The 19,845-nt window shown below is 36.0% G+C and overlaps 1 long non-coding RNA gene across 7 annotated transcripts in view; it reads left to right on the top strand.

Moving 5' to 3' along the window:
- The window catches only part of MIR325HG (MIR325 host gene), a 356,735-nt gene that overhangs the window by 175,629 nt on the left and 161,261 nt on the right, over window positions 1-19,845 (top strand). Inside the window, exon 2 of one of the 7 annotated variants that reach the window (NR_110403.2) lies at window positions 1,012-1,094. The exons of the other annotated variants lie outside the window; for them this stretch is intronic. This is a non-coding gene — a long non-coding RNA (MIR325 host gene). The remainder of the gene's footprint in view (window positions 1-1,011; window positions 1,095-19,845) is intronic. 7 annotated transcript variants of the gene reach the window in all.

Here is a 19,845-nt window from a genome sequence, read left to right as displayed (position 1 = left end):
CAATATGGAAGAAAAGTTTGGAGCCCCCACACAGAGTCTCCACTGGGGCACTGCCTAGTGGAGCTGTGAGAAGAGGGCCACTGTCCTCCATACCTCAGAATGGTAGATTCACTGACAGCTTTCACCATGCACGTGTAAAAGCCACAGATAATGACAGGCTGTTAAAGCAGCTGGGATGGGAGCTGTACCCTGCAAAGCCACAGGGGTGGAGCTCCTTAAGACTGTGGCACTTCACTTCTTGCATCGGCGTGCCCTAGGTGTGAGACATGGAGTCAAAGGAGATGATTTCAGAGCTTTAAGATTTAATGACTGCCTCACTGGATTTCCGACTTGCATGGGGACTGTAGCTCCTTTGTTCTGGCAAATTTCTTTCTTTTGAAATAGGAGCATTTATTCAATGCCTGTACCTCCATTGTGTCTTGGAAGTAACTAACTTGCTTTTGATTTTACAGGCTCCTAGATGAAAGGGTCTTGTCTTGTCTCAGATGAGACTTTGGATTTAGATTTTTGAGTTAATGCTGAAATGAGTTAAGACTTTGGGGGACTATTGGGAAGGCATGATTGGTTTTGAAATTGAAGACATGAGATTGAGAGGGGCAAGGAGCAGAATTATACGGTTAAGCTTTGTGTCCCCAACCCAGTTTCATCCTAAATTGTAGTCCTGATAATCCCCACATGTCATAAAGGGGACCCGGTGGGACATAATTTAATCATTGGGGTGGCCACCCTCATGCTGTTCTCATGATAGTGAGTGAGTTCTCACGAGATCTGATGGTTTTATAAAAGGCTTTTTCCCCTTTTGCTTAGCAATTCTTTTGCTGCCGCCATGTGAAAAAGGATGTGTTTGTTTCCCCTTTCCTTATGATTTTAAGTTTCCTGAGGGCTCTCCAGCCATGCTGAACTGTGAGTCAATTAGATCTCTTTTTTATATATATTACTGAGTTTCAGGTATGTCTTTATTAGCAGCATCAGAATGGACTAATACACCCAGTCTTTTGTATCTCTTTATAGCAATGTGAAAATGGACTAATACAATGGCGTTGGTTTCTAATGGTTTAACACTATCACCCTGAGTGCTGTTCTCCTAACAGTGAGTGAGTTCTCATAATATTTGGTTGTTTTAAATATGTGTAGTACCTTGCTCCCTTCTGTTTCTCCTGGCTGGCCATGTGAAGATGTGCCTGCTTTTCCCTTACCTTCTGCAATGATTTTATGTTTCTGAGGCCTCCCTAGCCATCCTTTATGTACAGCCTGCAGAATTATGGGCTAGTTAAACCTCTTTTCTTTATAAATTACCCAATCTCGGGTATTTCTTTATGGCAGTGCAAAAATGTGCTAATACAGATGGCAAGGAAACTCAAAGAGATTCTAGACATAGTTGAAAATCAACACACAAAAAAACTTCTAAAGCAATACAGGAAATAAAGCAGAGATCAATATCTTTAAAAGAAGTAAACCAGTGCTTCTGGAATTGAAGCACTCATTTAGGAAATTTCAAAAATACATTGGAAAGCTTTATCATTTGCCTGAATGAAGCAGAAGAAAGAATAATACAGTTTGAAGAACAGTCTTCTGGACTAAACAAGTCAGATGGAAATAAAGAAAAAAAGGCTTTCCTTTTATCATTTAAATTTAACTTTTATTTTAAGTTCAGGGGTACATGTTGTGTGGGTTTGTTATATAGGTAAATTTGTGTCATATGTGTTTGTTGTACAGATTATTTCATCATCCAGATATTAAGTTTAGTACTCATTAGATTTTTTCCTGATTCCACCCTTTGATAGGCCACAGTGTGTGTTGTTTTCCTCTATGTGTCCATGCATTCTCATCATGTAGCTTTCACTTATAAGTGAGAACATGTGGTATTTGGTTTCATGTTTCTGCATTTGTTTGTTAAGAATAATTACCCGGGCTCCATCCATGTTCCTGCAAAGGGCATAATCTCATTCTTGAAAAAAGAAATTTTAAAAATGAACAAAGCTTTTGAGAAACATGTGATTATGTAAAATGACCAAAGATACAAATTATTGGCTCTCCTGAGAGTGATAGAGAAAAAGTAAACAACCTGGAAAACATGTTTGAGGAAATAATTTAAGAAAAATTTCTTAATCTTGCTAGAGAGATAGATATCCAGATACAAAACGTCTGGTGGAGAACGCCTGCAAGATACTACACAAAATGAACATCACCAAGCTATATAGTCACCAGACTGTCCAAGATCAATGCTAAAGAAAAGAAAAATCTTAAAGGCAGCTAGAGAAAAAGGTCAGATCACATACAAAGGGAACATCATCAGGCTAACAGTGAACTTCTCAGCAGAAACCTTACAAGCCAGAAGACATTTGGGGGCCTACTTTTAGTATTATTAGAAAAAAATAAACCAGGAATTTTTATAACCTGCCAAACTAAGCTTCATAAGTGAAGGAGAAATAAAATATTTTCCAGACAAGCTACTGCTAAAATAATTTATTACACTAAACCAGCCATACAGGAGATTCTTAAGGGAGTTCTAAACATGGAAATAAAAGAGCAATACCTGCTATGACAAAACCATATTTAAGTACATAGCTCACAGATTCTATAAAGCAACTATACAATAGAAACTACAAAGGAACTAGCTAACCACTTTATGATAAAATCAAAGCATCACATATGAATATTAACCTTGAATGTAAACAGTCTAAATGTCCCATGTAAATGGCGCAGAGTGGCAAACTGCATTAAAAAGTGACCCAATTATCTGCTGTCTTCAGGAGACCCATCTCATTTACCAACAACCATAGGCTCAAAGTAAAAGGTTGGAGAAGGATTTACCAGCCAAACAGAAAACAAATAAGCACAGGAGTGTTATTCTTATATGAGATAAAACAGGCTTTAAACCAACAACAGTAAAAAAGAACAAAGAAGGGCATTAAATAATGGTAACAGGTTCAATTCTCTAAGAAGTTTTATCTATTTTAATATATCTCTACCCAACTTTGGAGCACACAGTTTTATAAACCAAGTACTTCCAGACCTACCAAAGACTTAGGTAGCCACACAATAATAGTGAGGGACTTTAACACCCCCATTAACAGCATTAGGGAGATCATTGAGGAAGAAAATTAACAAATAAATTCTTTAGTTAAATTCAACACTTGGCCACTTGGACCTAATAGATATCTGCAGAATAATCCACCCATCAACCACAAAATATATATTCATGTCATTCACACACTGAACATACTCCAAAATCAACCACATGCTCAGCAACAAAGTAGGTCTCAATTTAATTGAAAAAAAAAAAAAAAAAAACAAAATGAAACCAACCATACTCTAAGACCACAGTAGAATAAAAATAGAAATCAATATCAAGGGGATCTTGGAAACTACAGAATTACATGGAAATTTTAAAAACTTGCTCCTGAATGACTTTTGGGAAAACAACAAATTTAAGGTAGAAATTAGAACATTCTTTGAAATTAATGAAAACGGAGACACAACATTCCAAAATCTGTGGGATACAACAAAAGCAGTGTTAAGAGAAAAGTGTATAGCGATAAATGCCTACCTCAGAAAGGCTTCTCAAATTACCAATCTAACATAAAACTTAGAAGAACTACAAAAACAATAACAAATTAACCCCAAAGCAGGTAGAAACAAAGAAATAACTAAAATCAGAGCAGAACTGAACAAAATTGAGTCCCAAAAATCCATACAAAGGGTCAACAAAACCAAAAATTGGTTTTTTGAAAGAATAAACAAGATGAATAGACTACTAGCTAGATTGACAGAGAAAGAAAAGAGCCAAATAAGCACAATCAGAAATCACAAAGGTGATATTACCACTGATCCCAGAGAAATACTGAAAATTCTTAGAAACTATGATGGGCACCTCTATGTATCTAAACTAGAACATGTAAAGGAAATTGATAAATTCCTGGTAACAAAGTTTCCCAATATTGAATCAGGAAGAAATTGACATCCTGAACAGACTAATATCGAGTTCCAAAATTGAATCAGTAAAAATAAAAATAAAAAACATACCAACCAACCAAACAACAACAACAACAATGAAAAACTCCAGACCAGGTGATTTCAGAGTTGAATTCTGCCAGACATACAAAGGAGAGATGGGACCAAGTCTACCTAAGCTATACATAAAAATCAAGGAGGAGGGACTCCTTCTTGACTTATTCTATAAAGCCAGCATTACTCTAATACCAATACCTGGCAAAAACATAAAAGGGGGAAAAAAACTAGGCCACTATTCCTGATGAACATAGACACAAAAATCCTCAACAAAATATTAGCAAACCATATCCAGGAGCACATCAAAAAGTTAATTCACCATGTTCAAGTAGGCTTTATTGCAGTGATACAAGGAAATTGTTTCAAAATACACAAATCAATAAATGGGATTCATCATATAAACAGAATTAAAAACAAAGACTATATGATCATCTCAATAGGCTTGGAAAAAGCTTTTGATAAAATCCAACATCCATTCATGGGAAAAACCCTCAACAAACTAGGAATGAAAGGAACATACCTCAAAATAATAAGCATCACTTATGACAAACCCACAGCCAACATTGTACTGAATCGGCAAAAATTGGAAGCCTTACTTTGACAACTGGAACAAGACAAGGGTTCCCACTCTCAATACTCCTATTTAGCATAGTACCGGAAGTCCTACCAGAGCAGTCAGGCAAGAGAAAGAAATAAAATGTATCTGAATAGGAAAAGAAGAATAAAAATACTGTTTTTCATGAACAATGTAATTCCATACCTAGAAAAGCCCGTAGTCTCTGCCCAAAAGCACCTAGAACTTATAAATAACTTCATCAAAGTTTCAGGAAACAAAATCTAGGCATAAAAATCAGTAACATTTGCATACACCCATAATGTACATGCTGAGAACCAAATCCAGAATGCAATCCCATTTACAGTCCTACAAAAAAGTAAAATACATAAAAATACATGTTACCAAGGAAGTAAAACATCTCTACAAGGAGAACTAAGAAACACTGCTAAAAGAAATCATAGATTACACAAACAAATGGAAAAATATTCTATACTCATGGATTGGAAGAATCAATATCATTGAACTAGCCATACTGCCCAAAGCAATGTACGGAATTAATGTTATTCCTACAAAAATACCATTAAAATTCTTCACAGAACTAGAAAAAGTATTTTAAAATTCATATGGAACCAATAAATAGCCTGAATAGCCAAAGCAATCCTAAGCAAAAGGAACAAAGCTGGAGGCATCATATTACCTGACTTCAAACTCTACTATAAGGCTATAGTAACCAAACCAGTATGGTACTGGTACAAAAACAGTCATATAGACCAATGGAACAGAATACAGAACCTAGAAATAAAGCCAACCATTTCCACTCATGTGATCTTTGACAAAGTCGATCAATATAGGTAATCATGAAAGGACCCATTATTCAATAAATGGTGCTAGATAGCCACATGCAGAACAATGAAACCAGATCATTAACTTTAACCATATACAAAAACTAACTCAAGATGGTTTAAAGATTAAAATGTGTGACCTCAAACTATAAGAATCCTAGAAGAAAACTTAGGAAACACCATTCTGGACATCAGCCTTGGGAGAGAATTTATGACTAAATCCTCAAATGCAATTGCAACAAAAACAAAATTGACAAGTGAGACCTGATTAAGCTAAAGAGATTTTGTACAGCAAAAGAAACTATCAAAAGAATAAACAGACAACCTACAGAATGGAAAAAATATTCACAAACTATGCTTAAGGCAAAGGGGTAATATCCAGAATCCATAAGATGCTTAAACAATTGATGAACCAATAATAATAATAATAATAATAATAAATAATAATGACATACAATTGGCCAATAAACATATGACAAAATGCTCTGTATCATTAATCATCAGAGAAATGCAAATCAAAATCACAATTAGATATCATTTCACACCAGTCAGGATGATTATTATTTAAAAAATGAAGAAACAACAGATGTTGGTGAGACTGCAGAGAAAAGGTAATGCTTATACTCTTTTGGTGGAAATGTAAATCAGTTCATCCACTGTGGAAAGCAGTTTGGAGATTTATCAAGGAACTTAAAACTGAACTGCCATTTGACCCAACAATCCCATTACTTTGTGTATATCCAAAAGAAAACAAACCATTGTCCCAAAGAAAGACACATGCATTTGTATGTTCATTGCAGCACTAGTCACAACAGCAGAAACATGGAATCAACCTAGGTGCCCATCAATGGTGGATTGGAAAAAGAAATGTGAAATATGTGTATATATATATATATATATATATATATATATATATATATAGAGAGAGAGAGAGAGAGAGAGAGAGAGAGATCTATATCTATATATCTATATATATAGATATAGAGATCCATATATATAGATATAGAGATCTATATATATATATACACACACACATCTCACATATATATCTATATATGCACCATGTAGTGCTACTCAGTCCTAAAAGGAATAAAATCATGTCCTTTAGAGCAAGGTGCATGGAGTTGGTGGCTTTTTTTTTAAGTAAATAAACTCACGAAGAGAAAACCAAATACTGCATGATCTCTATTATAAGTGGTAGTAAATATTGGGTACTCATGAACATATTAATGGCAACAGTAGAAACTGGGACTACTAGAAGGGAGACTGAGAGGGAAAGCCAGGGTTGAAAAACTGTCTACTGGGCACTATGCTGAGTAACGGGGTGATGGGATCATCTGCACCCCAAACCTCAGCATTCTGCAATATACCCAGGTGACAAACCTGCAGAAGTAACCCCTGAATCTAAAATAAAATTTAAAAATTAAAGAAATAAAAATTCCAAATGCAATAAAATTCAAGTCATTTTTGAGGGCCTCCCATAAGTCATAGAATAATGTGAAAATTTCACTTCTAATATGAGGTTATAGAAAATAAATAAATAAATACTGAAAAAGTATATAAAAGCCTTATGTGGTGCTTAAATAATGGGGTTATCAATAAAATAAGCATTATCTATGTCTGCTTATTACACTTGAAATCTGGTGGCTCTGTGGTTTCTGTATTAACCTTGGGTGAGAAGTTTTTTTTTAATTGGAAAATGAAATATTCTGTAGTTATCCACTGGTTTTGGTTCTAACTCCTCTGAGGCAATACAGCACAAAGAATTTGACTCTGTTTTTGAAATGGAGTAGGACAAAATACATCGAGAAGGAAAACCCTGAAAATTAATGACTTAATACATTATACTGCTACACATGTGAAACTTAGAGCTGTTGAGTAGACATTTCAGTGATACCCATACGTTAATCTCCCCAGATCTCTGCAATGTCTCCTTTTATGGTTACTACTTTGTTCTAATCTACAAAGCTGAGCCCAAATCCACAGAGATGGGCCTTACTCAATGTGATGGTCATTTTTTATATGTCAAGTTGGCTGGGCTGCAGTTCCCCATTATTCAATCAAACACCAATTGCTGCTGTAAAGGTGTTTTGTATATGTGATTAAAGTCCACAGTCAGTTAACTTTAAGTAAAGGAGGCTATCCTAGGTAATCTGGAAGACTCTTATCTACTTAGTTAGAAGGCCCTAAGAAAAGAGTGGAAGATTCCCTGAAGAAAAATAAATTTTGCCTGTGGATAATAGCCTCACATTGTGCCCAACAGGTTTCGTCTATCCTTCCTGATTATCTGCGCTCTGGATGTTTTATTTGACTAGCCAGATCTCACAGTCATGTAAGCCAATTCCTTACAACAAACCTCTTAATATATATCTTACATGTATTATTATTTATAATACCTCTATGTCTCTACATTTATTATCTATAAAATAGTCTTTACCACTTAAAAAGTATTATATAATCCTGTTCCCATTCTTCCCAGGCATACCTGATGGATTCAGAGATAGATACACCTAATTCAAACAAGGGCCAATCAGATTCTGTCTCTTGTAAGGTTGTAATTTTGAACTCAGACATAGGGAGGCCAAAAGTAGGTAACTGAATCACTTTCATGGCAATGTATTAGAAGGAAGACTCAGCAACTCCTATTGCTAAGGTCCCAGAGCTTCTGTGGTACCTCCAATTCTGTACATTTATATTTTTTTTGCTTAAGTAAGATAAAGTTGATGTCTGATTTTTGTAACCTGACAATTATAAAGAAAGGTACATGGGAGTACCTGGAGTAGTATGACTCTTGGTAGTATTTTTTTTCTTACCACAGTATAAAGTATTAGCTCTCCCTGATGTTCTCCACTGTAATTCTGGCTTACATATAAATATAATTAAAACTAAATACCTAAGGCCAGAAGTGGTGGCTCATGCCTGTAATCCCAGCACTTTGGGATTGCCAAAGCAGGTGGATCACCTGACATCAGGAGTTCGAGACCAGTTTGACCAACATGGAGAAACCCCATCTCTACTAAAAATACAAAATTAGCTGGGCGTGGTGGCATGCGCCTATAATCCCAGCTACTCAGGAGGCTGAGGCAGGTGAATCACTTGAACCAGGGAGGGAGAGGTTGCAGTGAGCTGAGATTGTGCCATTGCACTCCATCCTGGGCAACAAGAGTGAAACTCTGTCTCAAAAAATATATACTAAATATCTAAAGAATAATATAAATAATCAGAGTAAAAATAAATAGAACTCCAGAAAACAATTACAGGATTTCCTAATGAATATTAGAAGATATCCAGAAGGAATATGTGACTATGGATTTTAAAGATTCTCTACCAAGAGAAGCAAAACATAATTTTGGATTGGGCTGACACTAGAGACATCTCATTCAATATGCTAGCCAGGCCTCAGGCTAAGGTTCTCATGGTTTTCTGAGTTGGCTGATGCAAAACAGGTTCAGAGATGGCTACTCTAGCTGCCACTGAAGGAATAAGAATGAGTTCATATATTACAGGACAAGAAAACATAGTGAAACAAGTAACACCAAGGGTCCATCCCTCAAAAGAAATGCAAAATAATTGAGCAAGAATCTGTCAAAGCCAACTTTTTAAGAGCTCAGGAAAATAATCAAAGTTTAACAACAACCAAGAAAAACTGGATCAAGAAAAAGACAACTTATAAATGGGATAAAAGCTTTACAGCATTTTTAATTGCCCTTACCCTAATGCCTCCCCAGATAAGCTATAGTCTTGGAGTGAGCAATATGCATTTCCAGTATAATTTCTTGTTCCTGGTTCCTGAGAAAACAGAATAGATCTTATTCTAAAATAATTCTGTTTTTCTGTCTTGACCCGCCTGGGGGCTAGCTGAAGGACTGATGCAAGGGACTCATCTCTGCATCATCTATGTAGTAACCTTCTCAATAAGGAAACGTGGCTATGCAGAGAACATTTCTAAAAAGCATTGCAAGCCAAATGAACAACCTGCTGCCACCTCTGGCAAAACATTAGTGGACATTGTTAAAGAAAAATAATTCATGATACCTGTTGAACACAGTAAAGCATATTTTATTCAAGAGGACCACAAAAATGGGGTATTGTAGTAGATGAGAGAGATTGAACTCAAATCCAAATACAACAAGTGGAGATTTATAGCCAAGAAGCAGGATGGAGATCAGTGGATGGAATATTATTAAGAAGAAACATTATGGGTAAGGAAGATTTTGGCCATATTGAGTTGACAAGATTATTACTGAAGCCACGTCAGAGTGATAAGTTATTGGGAATGAGGGATAATGAATTTGATAACATATCAAGGGTGAGGAATTTTTGCTAAACTGATCCAGCAGTATTTTTGCTGTGAACTAAGCAGGCAAAGACACTAGACTAAGTACAGAGCCTAAGGTTAGGGAATAGTCAGAAAGAGGACTCAGAGAAGCCCAACTCAAATTTTATCAAAGGATAGAGTTCTTACCTTTGTCAAAATAATCAATAGACATGTTGAAAGCTTGTAAGGAAAAGCTGGGGAGAGTTTCTGTGGGAAGTTAAGGCATTCTAAAGCATGCACATATATTTGGAAAGCTAGAAAGATACAAATATACCAAAGGCAGGACACAGCTCACAATACAGCTTAAGAAGACTCTAAGCTTTCCACCTTTGGCTGATCTCTAGGCTCAGCACAAACAGCAGGGTAAGGATAAGGTAGAGTTGCAAACAGCTTGGTTAAGTGTTGAAGGAGTGCCCCAACACAAAGCGAATCTGCAATACGTGAGAGATTTTTTTTCTTTCTTTTTCTTTAAATACATACACTCAAGGAAATCTCTGTTAAGAAAATAAAAAAAAGAAAAACACTAGCTGACCACAAGGTATAAGGAAAGAGACTTCAGAGACCACATGGACACTACAAAAATAGTTTAGAAAAGCCACTAAACAAACAACCACAGCCCACAGTGAGCAAGAAAAACAAACCCCGAAGCAGGGACATATCTAATTTTCAGAATTCCCATATTATAATCTTTAAAATGTTGAGATGCTATCAAAAATTATGAGTCATGAAAATAAGAAAGTATAACCTATGCACAGAACATTTTAACTAAAATGTCCCTGAGGAGGTCCAGACACACTGGATTTATTCCACAAAGATTAGTAACTCTCCTGTTTTATATACGCACAAAGAGCTAAAAGAAACCAGGAAAATGATGTCTCAATAAATGTAGAATATCAATAAAGAAATAGAAATTATAAAAAGGAACTGAAGTTCTGAAATTGAAAAGTACAATAAGTGAAAAGACAAAAAATCAGTAGACAAGCTCAGCAGCAGACCTGACCATGCAAAAGAAAGAAACAGCATATTTGAAGATAGGACTACTGAAAATTATCCAATTTGAGGAGCAGAAAGAAAAAAGAATGAAGAAAAATGAACAGAGTTTAAAAGACCAGTGGAACATCATCAAGTGTGCCAAAAAGCACACAATGGAAGTTTCAGGAGAGGAGAAAGAGAAAGGGAAAGCAAAAATGTTTTAAGAAATAATGACCAAAGCCTTCCCAAATTTAAAAAGTAGTGATGAATCTACTATTCCAAGAAGCTCAATGAATCCCAAGAAGGATACATTAAAAAATATTAGGTTGGTGCAAATGTAATTGCGGTTTTTGCATTGTTGGAATTTGCTGTTTGATATTTGAATACATTCTTAAATAAATGTGGTATGTTATACATCATTTTAATGGGCTTTTCTCATTTTATTTTTTGCCAATAATTTATTACTTGCTGTTTATTTTATGTTTATTTTAGACAATGTAAATGATGTTAGACAAAAACCAAATTTGAGTAATTTAATTATTTGGATTCAAAATGGGGTCGTAAAGCAGCAGAGACAACTTGAAAAATCATCAATGGATTTGGCCCAGGAACGTCTAACAACTGTACAGTACAGTGGTGGTTCAAGAAGTTTTACAAGGAGACAAGAAACCTGAAGTTGAGGAGCTCAGTGGCTGTCCATCAGAAGTTGACAATGACCAACTGAGAAAAATTATCGAAGCTGATCCTCTTACAACTGCATGACGAGTTGTTGAAGAACTCAACGTTGGTCATTCTACAGCGGTTTGGCATTTGATGAAAACAGGAATAGTGAAAAAGCTCAGTAAATAGGTGCCTTATGAGCTGAGCGAAAATCCAAAAAATGGTCCTTTTAAAGTGTCGTCTTGTCTTATTCTATGCAACAACAATGAACCATTTCTCAATCGGATTGTGATGTGTGACAAAAAGTGGATTTTATACAGCAACCAGTGATGACCAGCTCAGTGGTTGGACTGAGAAGAAGCTTCAAACCACTTCCCAAAGCCAAACTTGCACAAAAAAAGTCACGGTCACTCTTTGGTGGTATGCTGCCTGTCTGATTTACTATAGCTTCTTGAATTCTGGCAAAACTATTACGTGTGAGAAGTATGCTCAGCAATTCAATGAGATGCACCAAAAACTGCAACACCTGCAGCTGGCATTGGTCAACAGAAAGGGTCCAATATTTCTCCACAACAACACCTGACCACATGTCACACAACTAACTTTTCAAAAGTCGAACAAATTAGTCTACAAAATTCTGCCTCATCCACCATATTCACCTGACCTCTTGCCAACTGACTGCCACTTCTTCAAGCATCTCGACAGCTTTTGGCAGGGAAAAATGCTTCCATAACTTGTAGGATGCAGAAAATTCTTCCCAAGAGTTGATCAAATACTGAAGCATGGATTTTTACAGGAATAAACAAACTTATTTCTCATTGGCAAAAATATGTTGATTGTAATGGTTCCTATTTTCATTAGTAAAGATGCATTTGGGCCTGGTTGTAGTAATTTAAAGTTCATGACCTAAAACCACAATTACTTTTGCAGCAAACTAATATACATACACCAAGACACATTGAATTTTTTTTGAGACAGAGTATCACTCTCTTGCACAGGCTGGAGTGCAGTAGCTGCAATCATGGCAAACTGCAGCCTCCACCTTTCTGGGCTCAGATTATCCTCCTACTTCAGCCTCCCAAATAGCTGGGACTACAGGCATGCACAGCCATGCCCAGTTAATTTTTGTATTTTTTTTTTTGGTAGAGACAGGGTCGCCCTATGTTGCTCAGGCTGGTCTCAAATTCCTGGGCTCAAATGATTCATCTACTTCAGCCTCCCAAAGTGCTGGGATTACAGGCATGAGCTCCCATACCTGGCTGACACACTGAATCTTAAAAGCAGCAAGAGAGAAGTAACTTACCACATAAAAGGGATCCTCAATAAGATTAACAACCAATATCATGAAAAACCATGGAGGACAGAAGGAAATGTGATAGCATAATTACAGTGCTGAAGGAAAAACAAAAACATGTGAACCAAGAATTTCATTTATAGCAAAATTTCCTTCAAAAAATGAAGAAATTGAAACATCCCAGATAAACAAAAGCTGATGGAATCTGTCAGTAGTACACTCACCCTAAAAGAAATGCTGAAGAGAGTCCCTCTGGCTGAAATGAGAGGGTACTGGATAATAACTTTAAGACATACAAGAAATTGGGTAAAATTATTATAGCTACCTAGGTAAACATAAAAGTATTATTGTATTATATAGTATTATTTGCATTATTGGTTTGTAATGCTGCTTTTTCTCACATATGACATTTTTTTGAGACAGAACCTTACTCTGTCACCCATCAAGAGATGCTCCTACCTCAGCTTCACAAGTAGCTGGGGCTATGGACATAAATCATCATGCCCAGCTATTTTTAAAAAATTGTAGAGATGGGGTGTTACTATGTTACTCAGGCTTTTCTCAAACTCCTGAGCTCAAGTGATCCCCTGCTTCAGCCTCCCTAAGTGCTGGGATTTCAGGCACACAATGGTTTTAAAAAGAAATGCATAAAATAATAATTATCAATGTATGTTAACGGATAACCAATGTAAAAATGGTAAAAACTTTTTATGACAACATTGCAAAAAGAGGAATGGAGCTCTATAGGAGCAGAGTTTTTGTATGCAATTAAAGCAAAGGTGGTATTAATTCAAAATATATTGTTATAAATCTAATTGTATATTTATTTGTTATATATTACACATATATACTACAAAAATAATTGTAACCCCCAAGGCAATTGTTAAGAAAATAACTAAAATATGCACTAAAGTAAATGAGAAAGGAATTAAATGGGACTCTACAATGAAATACAAAGAGAGGCAGTAATGGAGGAAATGAAGGAACAAGAAAGATATAAGACATATAGAAAACCAATAAAAAATAGGCAGAATTCCTTCCTTATGAATAATTACTTTAAAAGTAAATGGATACCACATCACACCCATTAGGATGGCTACTACGATATTTAACCATATATGTCAACTTAACTGGGCAACAGGGAAACCAGATATTTGGTCAAACAGTATTCTGTGTTTCTGTGAAGGTGTTTTTAGATTAAGGTAGCATTTCAACCAGTAGACTGAGTAAAAAAGATTGCCCTCAATAATGTGAGGAAGCTCATACACTTAATTGAAGACCCAAATAGAACAAAAAGGCTGACTCTTCACTGAGCAAGAGAGAATTCTTTCTGCCTGATGGACTTCTAACTGAGACAATTACTTTATTCCTTCTTCAGAATTGAAGTAAAACACTGGATATTCCTGGGTCTAGAGTCTGCCAGCCTTTAGACTGGAACTAAACCATTGGCTCTTCTGGGTCTGCAGATTGCTAATGCAGCCTGTAGATCTTAGGACTGGCCATCCATAATTGCATGAGCCAATTCCTTATGATCTTATAATAAATCATATATAAATAAACAAATAAATCATATATATAATACATATGATTATATATATAATTTTATATATTATATAATTGTATGTTTATATAATTATATAAATTATATAAAATTTATAAAATTTTAATTATATATACATAAAAAATTCAGGGTTCTCCAGAGAAACAGAACCAATCATCTATGTATGTATGTATGTATATATATATCTATCTGAATAATACAGCCACTATCTTGAAAACAAGGCAGAAAACAAGTGGTGGTGAGGATGTGAGGAAATTGGAACCCTTGTGCACTGTAGACTGGAATGTAAAATGGTGTGACCAGTATGAGAAACAGTATGGTGATTTTTAAAAAATATTTAAAAATTTTGCCATATGATTCAGCAATTCCACTTTTGGATATACACTCAGAAAAATGGAAAGCAGAGTCTCAAAGAGACGTACAGGGTCTCAAAGAGGTGTACTATTTGATGTTTTAATATATGTATACATTGTGAAATGATTACCAATATCAAACTAATAAGCATATCCATCACCTCCTATAGTTACCATTTTTTATGGTGATAAATTAAGGGACTCATTTTAGATACAAAGGCACAAATACATTAAAAGTGAAAGGATCAAAATGATATTTCATATAAATAGTAACAAAGTGAGAGTTGGGATGGATTTATTAATATCTGAAAAAATAGACAGATCAAAAGCTGTTAAAAGAGATAAAGAAAACATATAGGTATATAGATGATAGATAGATAGATACATAGATAGATAGATAGATGGATAGATAGATAGATTGATCAATCCACCAAGAAGATACAATAATTATAAACATATGCACACAAAAAATCAAGGACTAAAATATATAAAGCAAACTGATTGAACTAGAGGGTGAAAAACACACTTCTAAAATATTTGGAGACTTTAATATTCCAATTTCAATAATGAACAGAATAACTACACAAAAGATAATTAAAAAAATAGTGGACTTGAACAACACTGTAAGCCAACTAGACCTAACAGACACATACAGGATATTCTCCTCAACAATACTGAAATACGTGTTTTCCTCAACTTCACATGTAACATTCTTCTGGATAGATCATATGTTAGGTCACAAAATAAATCTGAATGAATTTAAAAAATTGAAATAGCACCAACCACAATGGAGTGAAATTAGATATCAATAATGGAAGAACATTTCCGAAATTCACAAATATGTAGAAGTTAACACACCCACAAATAATCAATGGTTCTATGAAGAAATCATAAGGGAAATTACAAATACTTTGAGATAAATGACAATAAAACCTCAACATAACAAAACTTATGGGATACAGTGAAAGCAGTCCTTAGAGGAAAATTCATAGTTGTAGATGCTTACATTAAAAAAGAAATAAAAACTTTGTGCCAGCAAGATGGTAGAATAGGACTTACTGGCACTCATCCCCTATCAGAAACATCAATTTGCAAAATCATCCATGCACACACACAAAAAAAACCTTCCTTCACAAGAGCTAAGGAAACTAGGTGAAATATTATAGTATCTGGATATAGCACAGAAATAAGAAAAGATGGGTGGGGTGCAGTGGCTCATTCCTGTAATCCCAGCACTTTGGGAGGCCGAGGCAGGTGGATCACCTGAGGTCAGGAGTTCGAGACCTGCAGGGAGACCCCCTGAAACTATTTCTATGGAATAAAAGATGAAATGCTCCTGATTATTGTAAATACAAAATTGCATGCAGGATTGTGTAAAGACAATGCCAGGTTGGACTGCCAGAACGAGCCAACAGCGCGTGATGTGCTTCCCCCTGCAGAGAGCCTATGAATGGACGTGCAGCCAGGGAGGTTTCACATCACCAAGATTCCTATCCCAGAAAAGCAGATGTTCATAGCTCTGGGAATGGAATGCGACCCTTGTGGAAAGCCTATAAACGGATGTATGGGGGACGCCTGTCCATGTGGATAAGATAGGGCTATAAACACCCTCATCTTGCCACGGCTCTTCTAGGCCTCTTTAGGGTTAAAGCATACTCCCTTCTGAGAATTTCTGGTCTAACCAGTTGTCTAGCTTCAAGTCCTGTTTCCATGGATTATTTGTAACCAGATTTTGTTGCAGTTGTTACTGCTGATTAATATCTTGCTAATCATAGGTTATGGAAAGACTGTGTTTCTGTTCTAAGGCTGTGTTAGAAATTACTGATGCACACACTATATTGTAAATTCTTACCTCTGTATACTGTACTTCTACATACAAATGTACTGTACTTCTACATAGAAATGTTATGTTAAAGAATTACTTCATCCCCATGTGACCATCTCACCTCATAATCAAATGACCCTAAATCCCTCACTAGCCTACCGCCGCCCTCACTAAGCTTAATAATAAATGCTGGTATATCCAGTGCATTGTTGGCACCGTGGGACCAGAAGGCAGTGACCCCCCCTGGACCCAGCTTTCACTATCTTTTGTGTGTCTATTATTTCTCATCCTGCCGATCTGCCTAGGAGCAGAGAGAGAGCCCCGTTGCATTGTGGGCTGCTGGCCAGATCCCTCAATAGAGACAAGCCTGGCCAACATGGTAAAACCTCGTCTCTACTAAAAATAAAAAAAATTAGCTGGGTGTCGTTGTTGGTGCCTGTAATCCTAGCTACTTGGGAGGCTGGAGCAGGAGGATCGCTTGAACCCAAGAGGTGGAGATTGCAGTGAGACAAGATCGCATCATTGCACTCCAGCCTGGGCAAGAAGAATGAGACTCCATTTCAAAAAACAAAACAAAAAAAAAAATAGAAAAATAAATGATGCATTGAAAAGAATAGGAAGGACAGTTTGCATTACCTGCATCCCCCCCATCCCCAAGCAGAGCAAGACTCCTTTAAAAAAGAAAAATAAAAAGAAATGATGCATTGAAAAGAATAGGAAGGACAGTTTTACATTATCTGCATCAGCCCACCGCCAATTCCAGGTGGCACATTGTGGACAGAGATACCGTCTGTTTGGAGAAAGGAGAAGGAAGTGAGCACAGAACATTGCCTTGACCCCACTAAGAGGCACATCCCAGTAAAATTCAGCACCTAGCAGGATCCTACAGCCCTACACTCCAGGCCAGTGCTCTAGGACTTATTCTCTAGGCCTGCCATGGCACCGGTGGGATTCTGTAGCCCTAGGCTCCAGACCTGTGTGGTGAGCTAGGACTTTGTGCTGCCCCAGGGTCAAGGTAACCCCAGTACCCCTAGGCTCTGGACTGGCCAAGGCACTGGGCCAGCACCAGTAGCCCTAGGCTTTAAGCCTGACCTCTTGCCAGGCCAGGCTCCATAGACAGACTCCAGGTCTGCCTCAGGGCCAGGCTGGGCCAAGCATCCCTGGGTTCTGGACTACACTCATGTGCTGGGCTGACACTTATGGCAACAGGCTTTAGGCCCTTACCAGCACCAGGATGCAACCCAAATCTCTATGTATCAGCCAGAACACATGGAACTAGCTTTCAAGATGACCCCTGCAGACACAGGCTTTAGGCACACCCATTGCCAGGCCAGCTTGTGGTTCCAGGCTCCAGGACCAACTCAGGTTTCAGATCACTCTAGAGCCGGGTCTGCCCACAGAGGCCCAGGCTTCAGGTCATTGGGCTTCCAAAGAGAGTAGGGAAGGACAAAGGGATAAAAGCCTTATTTAAAGAAGTAATAGCAGAAAACTCTCCAATCTGGGGGAAAGACATAAATACCCAGGTAAGGAAGACGTCACCAATCAGATCCAACCCAAATAATACTACCCCAAGACATATTAAAATCAAACTGTCAAAAATCAAGGACAAAGAATTATCATATGACATATATATTATAAGAACTACTGTGTGAGTCAGTAATCCCACCACCAGGCAAGTATCCAAAAGAAAGGAAATCAGTGTATTGAAGAGATATGTGCATTCTTATGTTTATTGCATCACTATTCACAATATCCAAAATATGGAATCAACCTAAGTACCTATCAATGAATGGATAAAAAAGTGGTACATTTACACAATGGGAAAAATAAAATCATGTCATTTGCAGCAATATGGATGGTACTCTAGGTCATTTTGTTAAGTGAAATAGGTCAGGCACAAAAAGACAAATATCGCATGTTCTCACTCATATGTAGGAGCCGAAAAAGTTGATCTAATAAAGGCAGGGAGTGGAAAAATAGATACTAGAATCTGAGAAGTGTGTGTGGGTTAGAAGAATGAAGATAAGTTGGTTAATGGGTAGAAACATACAGTTAGATAGAAAGAATAATTTCAAATGTTCAATAGCAGAGTAGGGTGACTATAGTTAACAACAATGGATTGTATACTTTAAAATACGTAGAAGAGAGGACTTGAAATGTTCCCAAAACATAGAATGATAAAAATTCAAGGTGATGGATACCCTAAATACACTAAATTGATCATTAAATTGTATGCACATATAAAATATTACAAATATTTTATAAATGTGTATGCATATTATGTAACCATAAAAATTTAAAATAAAAAAATTGTAGTCAGCATGGGCTTTGACATTCCAGGGTTGGCAAGTGTGGGAGATGTTGATCACAAGAAACAAAATTTTAGTTAGATAGGAAGAATAAGTTCAAGATATTTATTGTACAACAAGGTGACTATAGTTAATAACAATATATTGTATTGCTGAAAATTGCTAAAATAATTTTAAGTGTTTACCCCACAAAAAATGACAAGTATATGAGGTAACATATATGTTAAGTAGCTCAATTTAGCCATTTTATGGTATATACATGTTTCAAAACATCATATTGTATGCAATAAACATATCATTTTATTTTTCAATTAAAAAATCACCTTAATCAACAAAACTCAAACTACTTTATGCCATAAAGTACTAGAAAAAAGAAAAAACCTCAAATACAATGAAAGGAAGGAAATAAAGATTACAGCAGAGATAAGTGAAATAACAAACAGAAAAACAATGGATAAAATTAATAAAATCAAAATTGGTTATTTGAAAAAATCTATAAATTGAAAAATCTTGAGCTATATTAACTAAAACTTAAGTAGACTCAAGTTAGTAAAACCAGAATTTAATGTGGGGACTTTACTACTAAAGTTACAGAAATAAAAATGATTATGAGAGTATACTATTATAAAAACAATTGTATCCCAACAAACTAGATAGCATAGATGAAATGAAAAAATTTAGATAAACACACAAACTATACAATTAATTCAAGAAGAAATAGGGAATTGGAACAGACTTATAACAAGTAAAGAGATAAAATCATTAATTAAAAGCCTCCTAACAACAACAACAAAAACCCAGGACCATATCACTTCACTTATGAATGCTACCAATCATTTAAAGAGGAATTATGATCCATCCTTCTAAATTTTTTCAACAATTAGAAGAGAAGAAAACACTCCTTAACTAATTCCATTTGGCCAGCATGACCCTGATATCAAAGCCAGACAAAAATATCACATGAAAACCACAGAGAAATATTTTATAAATGTAGTTGTAAACATCCTCAACAAAATTTTAACAAATTCAGCATCATATTAAAGGAATTATATACATCATGATCAAGGGGATTTATCCCAGAAATTCAAGGGTGGCTCATAATATAAAAAAAATCAATGTCATACAGTATGTAAGTAGAATTAAT

This window comes from Homo sapiens, chromosome X (genome assembly GCF_000001405.40).
Source record: "Homo sapiens chromosome X, GRCh38.p14 Primary Assembly".
Taxonomy (NCBI): Eukaryota; Metazoa; Chordata; class Mammalia; order Primates; family Hominidae; genus Homo; species Homo sapiens.
This window is presented reverse-complemented; position numbering and strand designations above follow the sequence as displayed.